Source organism: Homo sapiens, chromosome 3, assembly GCF_000001405.40.
Source record: "Homo sapiens chromosome 3, GRCh38.p14 Primary Assembly".
Classification (NCBI taxonomy): Eukaryota; Metazoa; Chordata; class Mammalia; order Primates; family Hominidae; genus Homo; species Homo sapiens.
This window is the reverse complement of record NC_000003.12, coordinates 86,012,280-86,029,270: the sequence shown is the minus strand read 5'-3', so window position 1 is coordinate 86,029,270 and position 16,991 is coordinate 86,012,280. Positions and strand designations below refer to the sequence as shown.

Sequence of the window (16,991 nt, the reverse complement as noted above, 5' to 3'; positions counted from 1 at the left end):
TTCATAGGCTAACCCAATTTTAATCTTAAAGGACAATTATGATCATGTTACTCCTGTGTCTGAAAATGTTCAATAGCTTTCAATTGCCCAGCAAGGTAAGTGTCACTTCTCAGCCTGGCATTTAAGGCCCATCACAAGAATGTTCCAAACTATGCCCTCCAGGCTTATTTCCCTCACTTGAAAGCACAGCTTTTCTTTTCCAATCAAACTAGAGCAGGGAGATTTCACTTTATGGCTCTTTTCTCACGCTTTTCACCATGGCACTTACAATTCATTGTATCCCTATCCAGCCATATCTAGTCCAATTGTACTTATAATTACTTTATTAATCCCTTTTTAATGTCCCACTTGAAAATCATGCTATAAAAGGGCAGCCATTAAAGTGCTGGGACATTTTACTAGGTGCTATAAGTGCACTGCATAATTTAATCCAGGGTAAACCAGGTATTATCACCTCATTTTACAGATGTGAATACTGAGGATTAAGAAAGTTATGTAATTGGCTCACTCATCTAGAAAATAAAAGTGAAGATTGTAATCCAGCCATGTCAGGCTTCAAAGGTGATGGCCTTTCCTTTAAAGCAGTTGTTTTCAATCTGTTTAACAGACTTGAAAGTAACAGGAGGTAATTTAGTGCACAAAAGATAGAAAGAAGTGAAATATACAGGTTGTAAAATCCACTGCTCTGGCTTCAAAGAGAAGATTTTCTCTAAAAGAGAGGAGTGTAAAAGAAGAAAATATATTTTGGGGAAACATTTTTGAAAAAACATTTTTGAAACTCTCTCATATGATCTATTCATTTTGCAAACACTTTTTTTATGGTTCTTGGTATGTTAAAACACTATTTTATAGCAACTGTTAGCCATTGTTATTTATTAGAGTGGAAGCATTGAAAATAATTAATAGCCCCTTAACCCATTTTTGTGTTTTCATTTACTGGAAACCCAAATATTTGTTAAGTGTATAAATGAATTTACCTTTGCAATAGGAATTGCAATTTCTTTGCCTGAAGAATGGTGAAATGAGAATTTTCTTTTTTTTTTTTTTGACTTCTTTTTTTTATTTATTTATTATACTTTAAGTTCTAGGGTACACGTGCACAACGTGCAGGTTAGTTACATATGTATACATGTGCCATGTTGGTGTGCTGCACCCATTAACTCATCATTTAACATTAGGTATACCTCCTAATACTATCCCTCCCCCCTCCCCCCACCCCACAACAGGCCCCGGTGTGTGATGTTCCCCTTCCTGTGTCCATGTGTTCTCATTGTTCTTAAATAAGTTAGAAGAGAGTACCTGTATCCTGGATCTTTTGAACTTCTGTGAAGTAATGTGACAATACAGATACTTACTGATCTGATTCGGGATGTTCCTGAGAAAACAGGTAAGTTTTCATTTATTTGTATATTTCTAAAGCCCAGTCCAATATTTAGTTCATGGAGGCTCTCCCAGTGTTGTTTTTGGATTTAACTACTCATATCGTTATAAAGAGCAATACTTTTAAAATTGAAAAGTTATTGAAACCATATAGTAAAAATTATTATTACATATTTTTCAAAGTTTATATTTCTATTCTACATTTAATATGATAAAATCATTCAAAAATAACTCTTATCCTCCAGTATTCCCATAAACATGGTGAGTCATTTCAATAGGCTATGCCTCATATAGAACGTTTTAAATAAACTTGAGAATCAATTATAAGGAAATGGATGTTTTGCTGCTGTTGGCAATAGTCAAAAAGAGAGCATAGTTTCTATGACAATGCTGATCTAATTAAGAGCATCTGTGCATTAAAAAGGTGTGTCCTAAAATGATTTATGATAAAATATGCAGAAAGAATGAATTTAAAAACACTATTATCTCCTCTCTACTGAGGCTGTGAAGGTTTTCCTCAGTTTGGTTTATAAATAACATTACATAATGGGAAAATACTTTTGCCTTCCAATATACGGTATGCAATGTTGATAATAAATATGTTTTAAATTTAACAGAAAGAGATATATACTGAGTTATCCAAGAAAATCTAAGAGCATAAACTAATGCTGTGGAAAGAATAGTGAAATATGAAATTTTGGGGGATGAGGTAGGGAATCCACACTAAACAATTAAGTTAAAAAAGTTTTCAAATAGCAAACTTAAAAATAAATGATGATGAACCCTGTTACTAGAATTGTTAATTCATTCTCTCTTTTTTCAGAGCAAAAATAATTTTATTCTTCCTTCTGAATTGTCTTTTTTTCTTGAGTATTATAAATCTAATATCCTTTTGAAAATAATCAAAGTCCATTTTCTCCTTTTGAAAGGCATTCTCACTGTTTACAGACTGTAATACAAGGTTCTTGCCTAACCAAGTTAACCATAAGAATGCATATATTTGAACCAATATATTTTATTTTGAAATCTTAATTTTTATGTCTACACCAATTCATGAAGTATTCAGTATTTTCCAGGAACTGGGGATAAAGTAATCATCTCACAGTCTAGTGGCAGATCTGATAGACCAAGAGCAATCACACCAACACGGAGTGGTTACGTGCTATAATTCTCCTCTTGTATCAAGTACAATGAGCACATACAACATGAGAATGAAAGAGGCATTTCAGAGGATCTTAAAAGTTCATGAGGTTTTGAAGGATGAATAGGCGTCAGTTGGCAAGGTAGAGAAAGACATACCTGATAGTAGCATTTAACAAAGCATAGTATGACCAGTAAATTGAAAACAAACAAAATCATTGGAGAGTGATATTAGCTGGAGTTGTAAAATACCTTAATTTCTATAGTGCTTTCTTGCTTAAACATGGTTTCATCTACCAATGCTACAAAAAATCCATGATACAGGATGTGAGTATAATTATATCTAATTTATCAAACTCAGTGTAAATTGTGACTTAAAGTCATAAGGCCAAAAAAAAACCAAAAAAAAAATGGCATAGTTGGGGCTAAAACTTCGAGTTTCCTGACTCACACTGACACTCTCTCCACAACAGAGTTCTCCCCTAGTACCATCTTTCCATGTTTTAAATTTAAACACAGTTAAATGTAACAAAATACCTGAATTTGAATCGCATTTTTCCCAAGTTGTGAGACTTTGAAACTATTATCTAACTTCTTGAAAACTGTTTCTAATTCCACACAATGAAGAGCATCCCCCAACTTAAAACTGTGCAAAACAGCACATTCCCTAGTACACAATAAACATTAAATTAATATAGCTGTTCTTATTTATCAGTATTAATATATTTATTTTCATATAAGCATATAAATAATAAGCTTAAGCATATTATTCAAAGAGAGCCAATTATTCTCTTTTGGACTGCTGTAAAACATTTTCAAGATTCCTTTGAGCCACATTATATTACTTTCACCTGTTTAAATTGACTCTTCCTTCTATTATTAGCCTTTAAATTCCTCAGGAACAAGTAAGTATTTTTTTCTGTACTCCTGATGTTTAGTTCCAGATTATTACAAAGTTAAGATAAAATAAATTTCAGAGGAATAAACAAATACTTATTGTAAAATGATTGTGCAATAAAAGTCATATTTGTTACATTTAATTTTTAAATTTACATAATAAATTACTCTATGAATTTATAATCTAATATCTGCCTACCTTCTCCTAATAAGCAGCTTATCTCACTATACGCCACCTTATCCCAAGGTCTGCCAAGTGTAATAAAAATTTATTTTATCTTAACTTCACCAACGAAGGAAGTGTCTGCCAGATGAAGATGTGAATGAAAGACATGGAATAATCATTTGTATAAAGATTTAAAAAAATAAGAACACTTTAAACTGTATGTGACTACAAGCTTGGAATTAACAAAAAAAAAAGTCCTTAGAAGATATTTACTTTGTTCATAGCCTTATAACAAAAGAGTATTTTCAAAAAACTATTTTGCCAAATAATGGGCTGCGCACAGTTGCTCATGCCTGTAATCCCTGCACTTTGGGAGGCCGAGGCGGGCAGATCACCTCAGGTCAGGAGTTTGAGACCAGCCTGGCCAACATGGTGAAACCCTGGCTCTACTAAAACTACAAAAAATTAGGCTGGCGTGGTGGCGGGCGCCTGTAGTCCCAGCTACTCAGGAGGCTGAGGCAGGAGAATCACTTGAACTCAGGAGACAGAGGTTTCGGTGAGCTGAGATCATGCCACTACACTCTGGCCTGGGCGACAGAGAGAGACTCCGTCTCCAAAACAAAACAAAACAAAAAAAAACAACTAGTCAGGCATAGTGGTGCATGCCTGTAATCCCAGCTACTCAGAAGGCCAAGGCATGAGAATCGCTTGAGCCTGGGAGGTGGAAGGTGCAATGAGCCAAGATTGCACCACTGCACTCCAGGGCGACAGAGTGAGACTCTGTCTCAAGAAAGAAAAAATATATATTATAATAATAATAATAATGTAAAGATACATGTGTAAGATCCTAGTGGAGCTTAATAATCTATACTACTATTAAGAAAACTGACACTAATAGAGCATCCTTCATTTTTATTCGGTCTTCAACATATGTAGTCAATTTTGCAAGACCTTGGAAATCATCTTAAATATGCTTGATGGCAGAAATATTTCCAAAGGCCCACAATGTGATAAAAGTTTTGCTGGTATCTGGTAAAGCCAAATTTGTTTTTATTGTTTTTATAGATGTATCATTTACAGAACATGCATAATTGTGGATTCAATGTATTAATGGCAGAGCATTACATATATAATTGCTCCAAATTACTAACAACATACTAATTTGAGCAGACCTCAGGCCTGAGATAATTTCAACTTGTACCTGAAGATGTGATATGTTAATACTCCATAAAGTATCTCTTGGTAGAAATACAATTGTCTTTCATTTTATTTACTGCTCGCTTTGAAAATTCTAATGTATAACTCAGCAATAGAGATTCTCGCTTACTTGTGCTCTAAGTGAGAACAAGTAAAAAATTATAAGTTTCAGAATATGAATATGCATACATTGAAATGATAAAATTAGATACCTGATCTGTCCCTTGCCAATGAAAGGTAGGTCAGAACTTGTGTAATATGGCTTAGGCCTGTTAAAGGGGTCAGCCTACTATGGTGGGGTCAAATAGGCAATGTAAAGGAGGCATTGCTTTCCAATGGCTACATCTCACTGAAGCTATTTGGGGGAAGGAAGATCTTAAGGTGAACACTGTCATATTTGCATATTAATGCGATTCAGTTGATCAAATTGTAAATATTTCTTTGGCAAGCTTGAAATAGAACTCTGGGTGAATGGGGAAAGTCAACGTAAATTTTGATTGAAATGGGAGCATGGACAGAATGTGAAAGTGCTTAATAAATTTACTTCCAGTAATTCAAGATTCAGTGGGAAATAGAAACAAGGAGCTAAATCAAACCTTGAATTCTTCAGAATTTTTCTTAATACTGATCCATGTCAGAGTGATGAAGTGAAGATTGGGGCTGAAGTTAAGACAGAGTTGGCAGTCTAAAAAGAAGCTATTTCCAGGTAAACAGTGTCATCTGCAGTGAGAAATAGAACTTCAAAAGAACCACAGCCATGGAAGATAGGTGTTGCATTTGTTTTAAGAGTAAGGCAAAGACGTATCCTTCTCCCAAAGGTTAAAAAAGAGCTAGGCTGGGTGTGGCGGCTCACACCTGTAATCCCAGGACTTTGGGAGGCCGAGGCGGGCAGATCACCTGAGGTCAGGAGTTTGAGACCAACCTCACCAACATGGAGAAACCCCGTCTCTACTAAAAATACAAAATTAGCTGGGTGTGGTGGTGCATGCCTGGAATCCCAGGCACTCAGGAGGCCAAGACAGGAAAATTGCTTGAACCCGGGAGGTGGAGGTTGCAGTGAGCCATGGGCAACAAGAGCAAAACTCTGTCTCAAAAAAACAAAACAAAACAAAACAAAACAAACAAACAAACAAACAAAAAACCTCATTCTGGAGAACTGTTTTTGAATTGTGAATTTTTCTAAGGTGAGAATCTGTAAGAGAACTGACCAGAGGATAAGTAATGTAATTTACAGGGCAGTGTGTACAAACTTACTTGTGTTACATTTGTTTATACGTATTGGAATTTGAAAGAAAAAATTTTCTCAATATCTGCTAGTATTGTTTTCAATGTGTGTAGCACATTGCATTTTTGATATTTGCTTTTTCCTCCCTTTTTATACTATTTGCCATGCCACACAAACTGGGAAAAGGGGGACTGGGTAAAATGAAGTAAAAAATGCTAGAACCCTGAAGATCTCAACCAGAGAAATAATTTTCTTTTTTTTGCTATATATTTTATTTTTTGAAGTATAGACTCAGTGGGCAGGTATATGAAAAGATGCCTATATATGGATGTTTTAGTGTTACTAAAAAAGTAGCAATAGAATGTCCATATTATGTTTGATTCTGCAAACGTTTATGCATATGCATATTTTCTGTGAAAAGTAAGCCAAAATGACATGGAAGCTGAATTAAATGAGGGCAAGGAATAACTGAGGCCTGAAGTTATTTTAAATCATATTATTATTGAATAACCTAGGTTAAATTTGCTAAATAACTATTTGTAGTTCAGAAAATGAGGACGCTCTCTAAGTGCATGTGTGTGTATGTGTATTTATAATAAAAAAGCTAAAATGGCTATTATGCATATTTTTAAAGGTATCAGTTTTTACTCAAACTGTAGAAACAGGTCATCATTTACAGTTTTGACAAAAGCAAGGTTATAATGATAAAAAGACAAAATAATTGAATATTACAAACAAGTTTAAGCTTTTGTGTCAATGTTAATGCTATCTAATTGTCAAGTTTTTCAGACATTGATCCATTCTCAAGAAGTCCTCTAAAGTTTGAGTCATTACAAAATAAGTTTGAAAGAGAAGGAGAGAGATAGAATGCACTATTAAACTATTACAAAGGCTAATGGTGGGAGACATGGAAACTGAATTAAATGAGAACAAGGAATAACTGAGGCTTATAGTTATTTAAAATCATGTTATTATTGAATCACCTAGGTTACATTTACTAAAGAACCATCTGTAGTTCAGAAAATGAGAACATTCTCTAAGTGCATGCTTGTGTGTATGTGTATTTATAATTAAAAAGCTAAAATGACAATTATGTGTATTTGTAAAGATTCATTCTCTCAAAAATAATCCAATATATTTTCATAAAAATTATATTTTGTATAATTAAGGTATACAACATGATATTATAAGGTGCATATAGACAGTAAAAATGCATATAGATAGTACTGTGAGCAAATGAACACTTTGCATTATTTCAGTTACCTTTTTTTGAGTGTGTGGCAAAAGCAGCTAAAATCTACTCATTTAGCATGAATCCCATATACATTACAGGTATATTGCCTATAGTTCTCATGTTGTGTATTAGATCTCTAGACTTGCTCTTCCTGTATATCTGCTACTTTATCTCTTGACTTATATCTTTCCATTTCTTTCCCTATCCCCTGCCACTGATAACTGCTGTTTTGTTCTCTATCTTTGTATAGTTGAATACTTTTTAAAACTCCACATAGAAGTGAGATCATTTTGTGGTACATATATGCAATCAAATATTATTTAACCCTCACAAAGAATAGGATCTTGCCATTTGCTCCAACATGGATGAGCCTGGAGGACAATAAACTTAACAGAAAGAATAATCCAATATTTTTAAGTGAGAAATTTTTACAGTGAGTAGCACATCATTTACTTGAAACCATACATTAAGCTAAATGGGATCTTTATTGATCCAATAAAGATATTTTTCACAGACTTTTTGTAGATATGAGAAATGATGAGATAATCTGTTAAAAATTATTATTAGAGACTACTTAAGCCATGTCTACACTAATGAATTTCTATCTTAAGCTAAGGTACATCACTGATATAGGACAGAAGGAAATATATTCCTCCGGGAAGCAACATAATTAAATGGCATTAAAGGGTTTGAAAGGGGAATTGAAGTGGATGGATACAAAAAAGCAGTTTTGGCCAGGTGCGGTGACTCACACTTGAAATCCCAGCACTTTGGGAGGCTGAGGCAGGCAAATCACTTGAGGTCAGGAGTTCGAGACCAGCCTGGCCAACATGGCAAAACCTCATCTCTACTAAAAATACAAAAATTAGCTGGGCGTGGTGGTGGATGCCTGTAATTCCAGCTACTTAGGAGGCTGAGGCATGAGAATCACTTAAACCTGGGAGGCGGAGGTTGCAGTGAGCCGAGATCTCGTCACCGCACTCCAGCCTGTGTGACCTGGGTGACAGAATAAGACTCTGTCTCAAAAGAAAAAAAGTTTTTGCCCTGGCCAGAACTTCCAACACTATGTTGAATAGGAGTGGTGAGAGAAGGCATCCCTGTCTTGTGCCAGTTTTCAAAGGGAATGCTTCCAGTTTTTGCCCATTCAGTATGATATTGGCTGTGGGTTTGTCATAGATAGCTCTTATTATTTTGAAATACGTCCCATCAATACCTAATTTATTGAGAGATTTTAGCATGAAGAGTTGTTGAATTTTGTCAAAGGCTTTTTCTGCATCTATTGAAATAATCATGTGGCTTTTGTCTTTGGCTCTGTTTATATGCTGGATTACATTTATTGATTTGCGTATATTGAACCAGCCTTGCATCCCAGGGATGAAGCCCACTTGATAATGGTGGATAAGCTTTTTGATGTGCTGCTGGATTCGTTTTGCCAGTATTTTATTGAGGATTTTTGCATCAATGTTCATCAAGGATATTGGTCTAAAATTCTCTTTTTTTGTTGTGTCTCTGCCTGGCTTTGGTATCAGAATGATGCTGGCCTCATAAAATGAGTTAGGGAGGATTCCCTCTTTTTCTATTGATTGGAGTAGTTTCAGAAGGAATGGTACCAGTTCCTCCTTGTACCTCTGGTAGAATTCGGCTGTGAATCCTTCTGGTCCTGGACTCTTTTTGGTTGGTAAGCTATTGATTATTGCCACAATTTCAGCTCCTGTTATTGGTCTATTCAGAGATTCAACTTCTTCCTGGTTTAGTCTTGGGAGAGTGTATGTGTCGAGGAATTTATCCATTTCTTCTAGATTTTCTAGTTTATTTGCCTAGAGGTGTTTGTAGTATTCTCTGATGGTAGTTTGTATTTCTGTGGGATCGGTGGTGACATCCCCTTTATCATTTTTTATTGCATCTATTTGATTCTTCTCTCTTTTTTTCTTTATTAGTCTTGCTAGCGGTCCATCAATTTTGTTGATCCTTTCAAAAAACCAGCTCCTGGATTAATTTTTTGAAGGGTTTTTTGTGTCTCTATTTCCTTCAGTTCTGTTCTGATTTTAGTTATTTCTTGCCTTCTGCTAGCTTTTGAATGTGTTTGCTCTTGCTTTTCTAGTTCTTTTAATTGTGATGTTAGGGTGTCAATTTTGGCCAGGGCAATTAGGCAGGAGAAGGAAATAAAGGGTATTCAATTAGGAGAAGAGGAAGTCAAATTGTCCCTGTTTGCAGACGACATGATTGTATATCTAGAAAACCCCATTGTCTCAGCCCAAAATCTCCTTAAGCTGATAAGCAACTTCAGCAAAATCTCAGGATACAAAATCAATGTACAAAAATCACAAGCTTTCTTATACACCAACAACAGACAAACAGAGAGCCAAATCATGAGTAAACTCCCATTCACAATTGCTTCAAAGAGAATAAAATACCTAGGAATCCAACTTACAAGGGATGTGAAGGACCTCTTCAAGGAGAACTACAAACCACTGCTCAAGGAAATAAAAGAGGATACAAACAAATGGAAGAACATTCCATGCTCATGGGTAGGAAGAATCAATATCGTGAAAATGGCCATACTGCCCAAGATAATTTACAGATTCAATGCCATCCCCATCAAGCTACCAATGCCTTTCTTCACAGAATTGGAAAAAACTACTTTAAAGTTCATATGGAACCAAAAAAGAGCCCGCATCACCAAGTCAATCCTAAGCCAAAAGAACAAAGCTGGAGGCATCACGCTACCTGACTTCAAACTATACTACAAGGCTACAGTAACCAAAACAGCATGGTACTGGTACCAAAACAGAGATATAGATCAATGGAACAGAACAGAGCCCTCAGAAATAACGCCTCATATCTACAACTATCTGATCTTTGACAAACCTGAGAAAAACAAGCAATGGGGAAAGGATTCCCTATTTAATAAATGGTGCTGGGAAAACTGGCTAGCCATATGTAGAAAGCTGAAACTGGATCCCTTCCTTACACCTTATACAAAAATCAATTCAAGATGGATTAAAGACTTAAACGTTAGACCTAAAACCATAAAAACCCTAGAAGAAAACCTAGGCATTACCATTCAGGACATAGGCATGGGCAAGGACTTCATGTCTAAAACACCAAAAGCAATGGCAACAAAAGACAAAATTGACAAATGTGATCTAATTAAACTAAAGAGCTTCTGCACAGCAAAAGAAACTACCATCAGAGTGAACAGGCAACCTACAAAATGGGAGAAAATTTTCACAACCTACTCATCTGACAAAGGGCTAATATCCAGAATCTACAATGAACTCAAACAAATTTACAAGAATAAACCAAACAACCCCATCAAAAAGTGGGCGAAGGACATGAACAGACACTTCTCAAAAGAAGACATTTATGCAGCCAAAAAACACATGAAAAAATGCTCACCATCACTGGCCATCAAGAAATGCAAATCAAAACCGCAATGCAATGCCATCTCACACCAGTTAGAATGGCAATCATTAAAAAGTCAGGAAACAACAGGTGCTAGAGAGGATGTGGAGAAATATGAACACTTTTACACTGTTGGTGGGACTGTAAACTAGTTAAACCATTGTGGAAGTCAGTGTGGCGATTCCTCAGGGATCTAGAACTGGAAATACCATTTGACCCAGCCATCCCATTACTGGGTATATACCCAAAGGATTATAAATCATGCTGCTATAAAGACACATGCACACGTATGTTTATTGCGGCATTATTCACAATAGCAAAGACTTGGAACCAACCCAAATGTCCAACAATGATAGACTGGATTAAGAAAATGTGGCACATATACACCATGGAATACTATGCAGCCATAAAAAATGATGAGTTCATGTCCTTTGTAGGGACATGGATGAAATTGGAAATCATCATTCTCAGTAAACTATTGCAAGAACAAAAAACCAAACACCGCATATTCTCACTCATAGGTGGGAATTGAACAATGAGATCACATGGACACAGGAAGGGGAATATCACACTCTGGGGACTGTTGTGGGGTGGGGGGAGGGGGGAGGGATAGCATTGGGAGATATACCTAATGCTAGATGACGAGTTAGTGGGTGCAGCGCACCAGCATGGCACATGTATACATATGTAACTAACCTGCACAATGTGCACATGTACCCTAAAACTTAAAGTATAATAAAAAAATAATAAAAATAAAATAAAATAAATAAAAGACTTTATAAAAAAAAAAGAAAAAAGTTTTTAAGGGTACACATAACATAATTTTTCCTAAGCCAATTGCAATTTAGCACACAAAAGAAATCCCTTTCTTCTTCTTTTTCTTTCTTTTTTTTTTTTTGGAGACAGGGTCTCCTGGTGTCGCCCAAGCTGGAGTGCAGTGGCACAGTCTCGGCTTACTGCAGCCTCTGCTTCTGGGTTTAAGTGACTTTCCTACCTCAGCTTCCTGAAGAGCTGAGACTACACGTGTATGCTACTGTGCCCGGCTAATTTTTGCAGTTTTTGTAGAGGCGGGATTCCTCAAGTTTCCCAGTCTGCTCTCCAACTCCTGGCTCAAGCGATCTGCGGGTCTTGGCCTCCCAAAATGCTGGATTACAGGCATGTGCCACCATGACCAGCCAAAAAATACTTTTCTTCCTAACAGTACTTGCTAAATTATTTTATGATCAAGTAAAAATATTTTATAATTTTTCTTCAGAAATCAAATAATTTTGAGCTCTTGTGTAAATAATTAGTAAAACATGTCTAGGAGCTTAGGAATAACATCTATTTGACCAAATCATAGAACTCTTGAGGACTCAAAGGGATATATTTTCCAGATTGTCCCATACTTATGTTATTGTAACATATTGCCTCATATCTATATAGTGTAAATTATATATATATATATATATATATATACACACACACACACACATATATATACACACATTTTTTTTCCAGCTTGTCCAGAGTAGTATGAACCCATATTAGCTTGATGGCACAGAAATGGGTCTGTAAAAGCTTAAAGCAATAAGCACAACTGTTTGATATACAGTGGTTAGAAAATGATTATTGTATTTTTCTATTGGATTGATTTTCTTCTTTTGAAACAAATGAAATTTTGTTTTTCTAAGTATTCTCAAAGTTCAGATTTTTAAAAAAATCAGTGAAAGTTTTAAAATAATTCTTTTGTTGAATTTAAAGTTGTTTTAAACCCCTCATTGAATCCTTAGTAATTTCTGTTTTCTTTGTTATAAAAAAGAACACTTTTGGAAACTAGTCTATTTTATCTTGATTATATAGCAGCGACATATTAATCATCATTAAATATGAATAAAACATGATTTCCCTAAGTGTTAACATTATCATAAAATGCCAGAGACTGAATTCAGGAGGTTAAGATTATAGAAATTACTTTCAGAGGCAATGAAAGGGTCAACTTAAGTTTTCCACCTCCCCGCACCTTTGAAACTTCCGCAGAGAAGGATAATGTGTTGGCCTGTGATTAACAAAATTTGTGCTAGCTTTTTCCTAAAGGAAAAAAGAGGTGGAAGTTAAACAACTGGTAGCACATTACTATCATTTAATTATATTTTCCTCTTATTTCATCATAATTTTTTCCTTACATGTCATTAACCTTTAACTCAAAATAATTTCAGCAAAGTTAGAAAATATGTTGCACAATTTTCTCTTATTCTCTTATCTAGAAAACTTTTAAGAGATAGATTGGTACAAGAAATAATTCTAACAGTTTATCATATGCAAGATGCTTATTAGTAATTAAATATAAAAAGATATAGGTAGATGTTTGCATACATTCCCAAGTAGTAGCTATATAACATGTTTTATATATTATTTCCCTCTGTTTACTTGTTTCACCCTAATATACATAAATTTCCATTTATGTACTTTACCACTATAGTATTAGAATGTACTAAAAAAATAGTGTATCAAAAGACTGACATGAGTTAATTACATGATAGTAAAATTTCTAGAAGCTCGTAAATTATTTTCCTTTAGTGAATAAAATGATTAAGTTTCTTTTTTCCATTTTTAAACAAAATTCACATTTTGTTTTGATTGAAATAAACTATACAAAATGGATTTTCTTCATCAAAAATAACAGCAATGTTTTCCATAGTTTTCTAGATAAACCACAATCCTTATTTTTGTAGGTTTTCCAGGTTTTGCTTATAAATCAAGATGAGGCAGTAGGTAAGAGTCATGGAAAAAGACAGAAAGAAAACAGACAAGTCAGTTGTCAGTACCCATGGCCTCTGATTCCGTCTTAACCATGAAACAGAAGTGTTCAACATATACCGGCTAAAAAGCTTAGGAAGATGTAGGCTCCACAAAGGAATGTAAACAGCAACAATGAGATGTAGAACAACGCCAGGCTCTTCCATTCAAATTTTAACTGTCATTTGCTCCTTTAAGTTAGAGAAAGACAAAATCTGCACTGAAATCCTTGTTTGGCGAGCTCACAAGCTTTTCTCCGGTAATTTCTTGTAACTGTCCAGGAGAGATTTTTAACATACTTAAAACTCCTATTAGTCAAAGGTCAACTGTGGGTGTCACTATAACATTTTATAAAATGTATTCCTTCCTCCCGCACCTCTTCAAAACATACTTCTTCAAAGAATTTGTAACACCCAACAAGTAGAGATCCACAGTGATAATAAATGCTATGTCTAAAATGACCTAACTAAAACAATTCCAGAGTGCCATCAGCAGAGTACACGCAGAAGGAAACATGGCACTTTCAATGTTCTCTTCTGGAAGAACAGGTAGGTTTTCAAAGCCTGAGAGTTCAAACAGGGGCCATTTAAACAGGTACATTATCAATGGCTAATGTATTCAATGGAGTTCTATAGGCAAAGACATTTAGTGATTAAGAGGTTTACATACACCATATGGCTTTTCTTTAAAATATCAAATATAAGAAGGCCTATTTTTAAAACTCTCCTAGGTATTTTCGATGGTTTTGGAATTATCTGTGGGAAGCTCTGACTTACTTGTATAGGGTTTAACGTGTGTGTCCGCCATTAAATCCAGGTTGTGTTTTATGTCACAATTTATGTTAAGCAAAGCCAAGTTACTCGAACTTTGGTCTGTCAAAGTGTTCCTTAAATATGCTTTAAGACGCTTTCGTCCATTTTCATACCACTCATTCTCAACCGTCATCACAGGAAGAATACACAGGACCTTCATCAATGCATACACATTAGGAAAAAACTTGATGTCAGGCAGGTGGAGGGCTTCATAGATGGTGGATGGAAGCTCTATATCTTTCCTCCTGTGTTTCTATTTGATTCTCCAACAGTGAAGCTTGGCTGAGAGCGTGTCAGTATTGGGTAAGTCACTTCTACACATGTCAGCATGGTGTTCCTCCGGTGTATTGAATTTGAGTTGTCCCATGACTGAGGGTACCAGAGATAAGCATTTAAGAGCTTTGAGGTGCTGTTCTAAGAATATATCTTTAAGTTCCTGAATAATGTGCTCCACTGTTGGGACACTTAGTGTTTCTTTATAGTAACTCTCAGAGGCTAGCTGAGATTCCAAGTTACCTTGGTGAACACTGTGGTATTTTCCAGGGAGTTTCATTTGAATATCAAGTTTGGTTACCAAATTTGTGGCTTCCTCAAACCAAAATTCATGATAAACTTCAATATTTTCCATCACTTCGTTGAGTAAATGCAGTACTACAGTCAAGCTACCAGCTGCAAATAAGACATCAGAGGTTTGCCCCTGGAGATTTTCCCCAAAGGCTCTTGTAAAAGATAGGACATTTTTAAGAACAACAATAGTAACAATGAAATCAAAATCTGTTACTGCACTGCAGAGTATAAATGCTCTGCCAGCTACACAGTTACTCCATCTAATATTTGTGTCACTATTTATACCATCTGAACCTAAAACAAGTGCTTGCAGGAGTTCCACCAAAATTTCAAAAGCATCATGCCTGCGTGTCCACTGAAAATGGCAGATTTCCTTCAGTTCTTTACCCCTTTCTTAACCGTTGTGAAAAAGAACAGAAATTACATCGTCAAGTTCTAAAAGCAGTTGTGATCAAGGGAAAAAAGAACAAACTTCTTCAATTGTTCCTAATGCAACAGATACTCCCATAACAGGTACTGATTTTGCCAACCACATATTTAAGGCACAGGAAGTTCAGAGTGTGTAGATAGCTTGGGGATATTTTTCTAAAAGTCTAGAAGCAACAACTTTCATTTTGGAAGAAAATCCACTAGACACAATGTAAGCCTGACCACGACAATGCTTCATATTTAATCCCCACTTCTCAGTTATCATAGTGTGAAATTTCACAGCCAAAATTTCTGCATCAGCTTCATAAGGCAGAAAACCTATAAATTCCTCTCTTAGGCTATGAGATTCATCAACAAACCCCACCAACACAGTTAGGTGCTCTTCCCCTGCTATGTCCACTACATCGTCAGTGATAATGGAAAAGAAGTGTGATTCTCTCTCTTCCCTGAGAGTTTCTTCTCGAATACAGCTCTCACAGATCTCTACCATCTGCCTCTGCTGTGTTTTTGAAGAAAACAACGTGTTAACTGCTGTTGTCTCAAAGCGCTTTCTCAGAACCTCTTCACCAGAATTTATCTGGCACTCCAGCAGTGCTTGAAAGTTATCTAGGGTAAAGAGACCTTCTGGGATTTCTTCGGCCTCCTGTCCATCCAGAGGTATATTTTGCTTTCCCATCAGAATCAATAATTCAAATAGAGATTTTAGGTATTCTTTGTTTTCCTTCTCTTCAAGGGATAGAGGTAAAATGTCCTCATCTTGCCCTTCACCCTCTTCTTCACTGGGGTTCTGAGCATTGCTATTGTTGGTTTATGTTTTTGTTCCTGCTCAGAAGTTTCATCAATGTTTTTCTGTTTCAGTCCTGATTTCGTCTTCACTCAGTTCTTTTATTCGTTTTCTGTGTCTACTTACGTGGTTTGTTCAAATGACTGTAAGATCAAATATTGTTGGTATTGCATTATCTCGAAGAACTGTCCTATAAGGACTAGTTCTACAGATCATAGAGGTCTCATGTTTGGCACATAATCGATAATGTTTATTTAGCTGATCAGGTTTTTGTTTTTGTTTTTGAGATGGAGTCTCGCTGTCGCCCAGGCTGGAGTGCAGTGGCGCGATCTCGGCTCACTGCAAGCTCCGCCTCCCGGGTTCACGCCATTCTCCTGCCTCAGCCTCCCGAGTAGCTGGGACTACAGGCGCCCGCCACCGCTCCCGGCTAATTTTTGTATTTTTAGTAGAGACGGGGTTTCACCGTGTTAGCCAGGATGGTCTCGATCTGCTGACCTCCTCGGCCTCCCAAAGTGCTGGGATTACAGGCGTGAGTCAACGCGCCCAGCCGATCAGGTGTTTTATCTTCTAAGTCAGCTCTCCTACAATTCTCCACCCACTCCTGGCATCTGGCCGGGTCCCGCGGGAACCTGAAGAAGGCCAGGTCGGACTGCGTGCGCTTCGCGTGCAGTTGGGGGCAGCGCAGAAGTTCGGCATCTTCGCCCGCCCGCTGGCTGGCCCAGCCCTCCGCTCCCGGCCTCCTCAGGGCAGTCCGCCCGCTGGTCCGGGTCACGGAGGAGAGCCAGGTCGGCCGGCTCTGCAGGGCCGGCGCGCGGGCGAGGGGCGGGCGGGCGAGAAGCCCAACTTTATTGTAATTTATTGTGTGTGACCATGACAACAAGACAATAAAGCAACAAGAGCATGAATTAGAATTGAAACAAAGCATATTGACAAGATGACACCAGGATCTTTTCATATATGTTATTCTATTATAATAT

General features: G+C 36.5%; 1 protein-coding gene and 1 pseudogene across 16 annotated transcripts in view; both read right to left on the bottom strand.

Annotated features, from left to right (window-relative positions):
* Positions 1–16,991, bottom strand: part of CADM2 (cell adhesion molecule 2) — a 1,115,441-nt gene that overhangs the window by 45,159 nt on the left and 1,053,291 nt on the right. The gene's annotated exons all lie outside the window — the stretch shown is intronic.
* THAP12P2 (THAP domain containing 12 pseudogene 2) lies at positions 13,752–16,854 on the bottom strand (annotated as a pseudogene).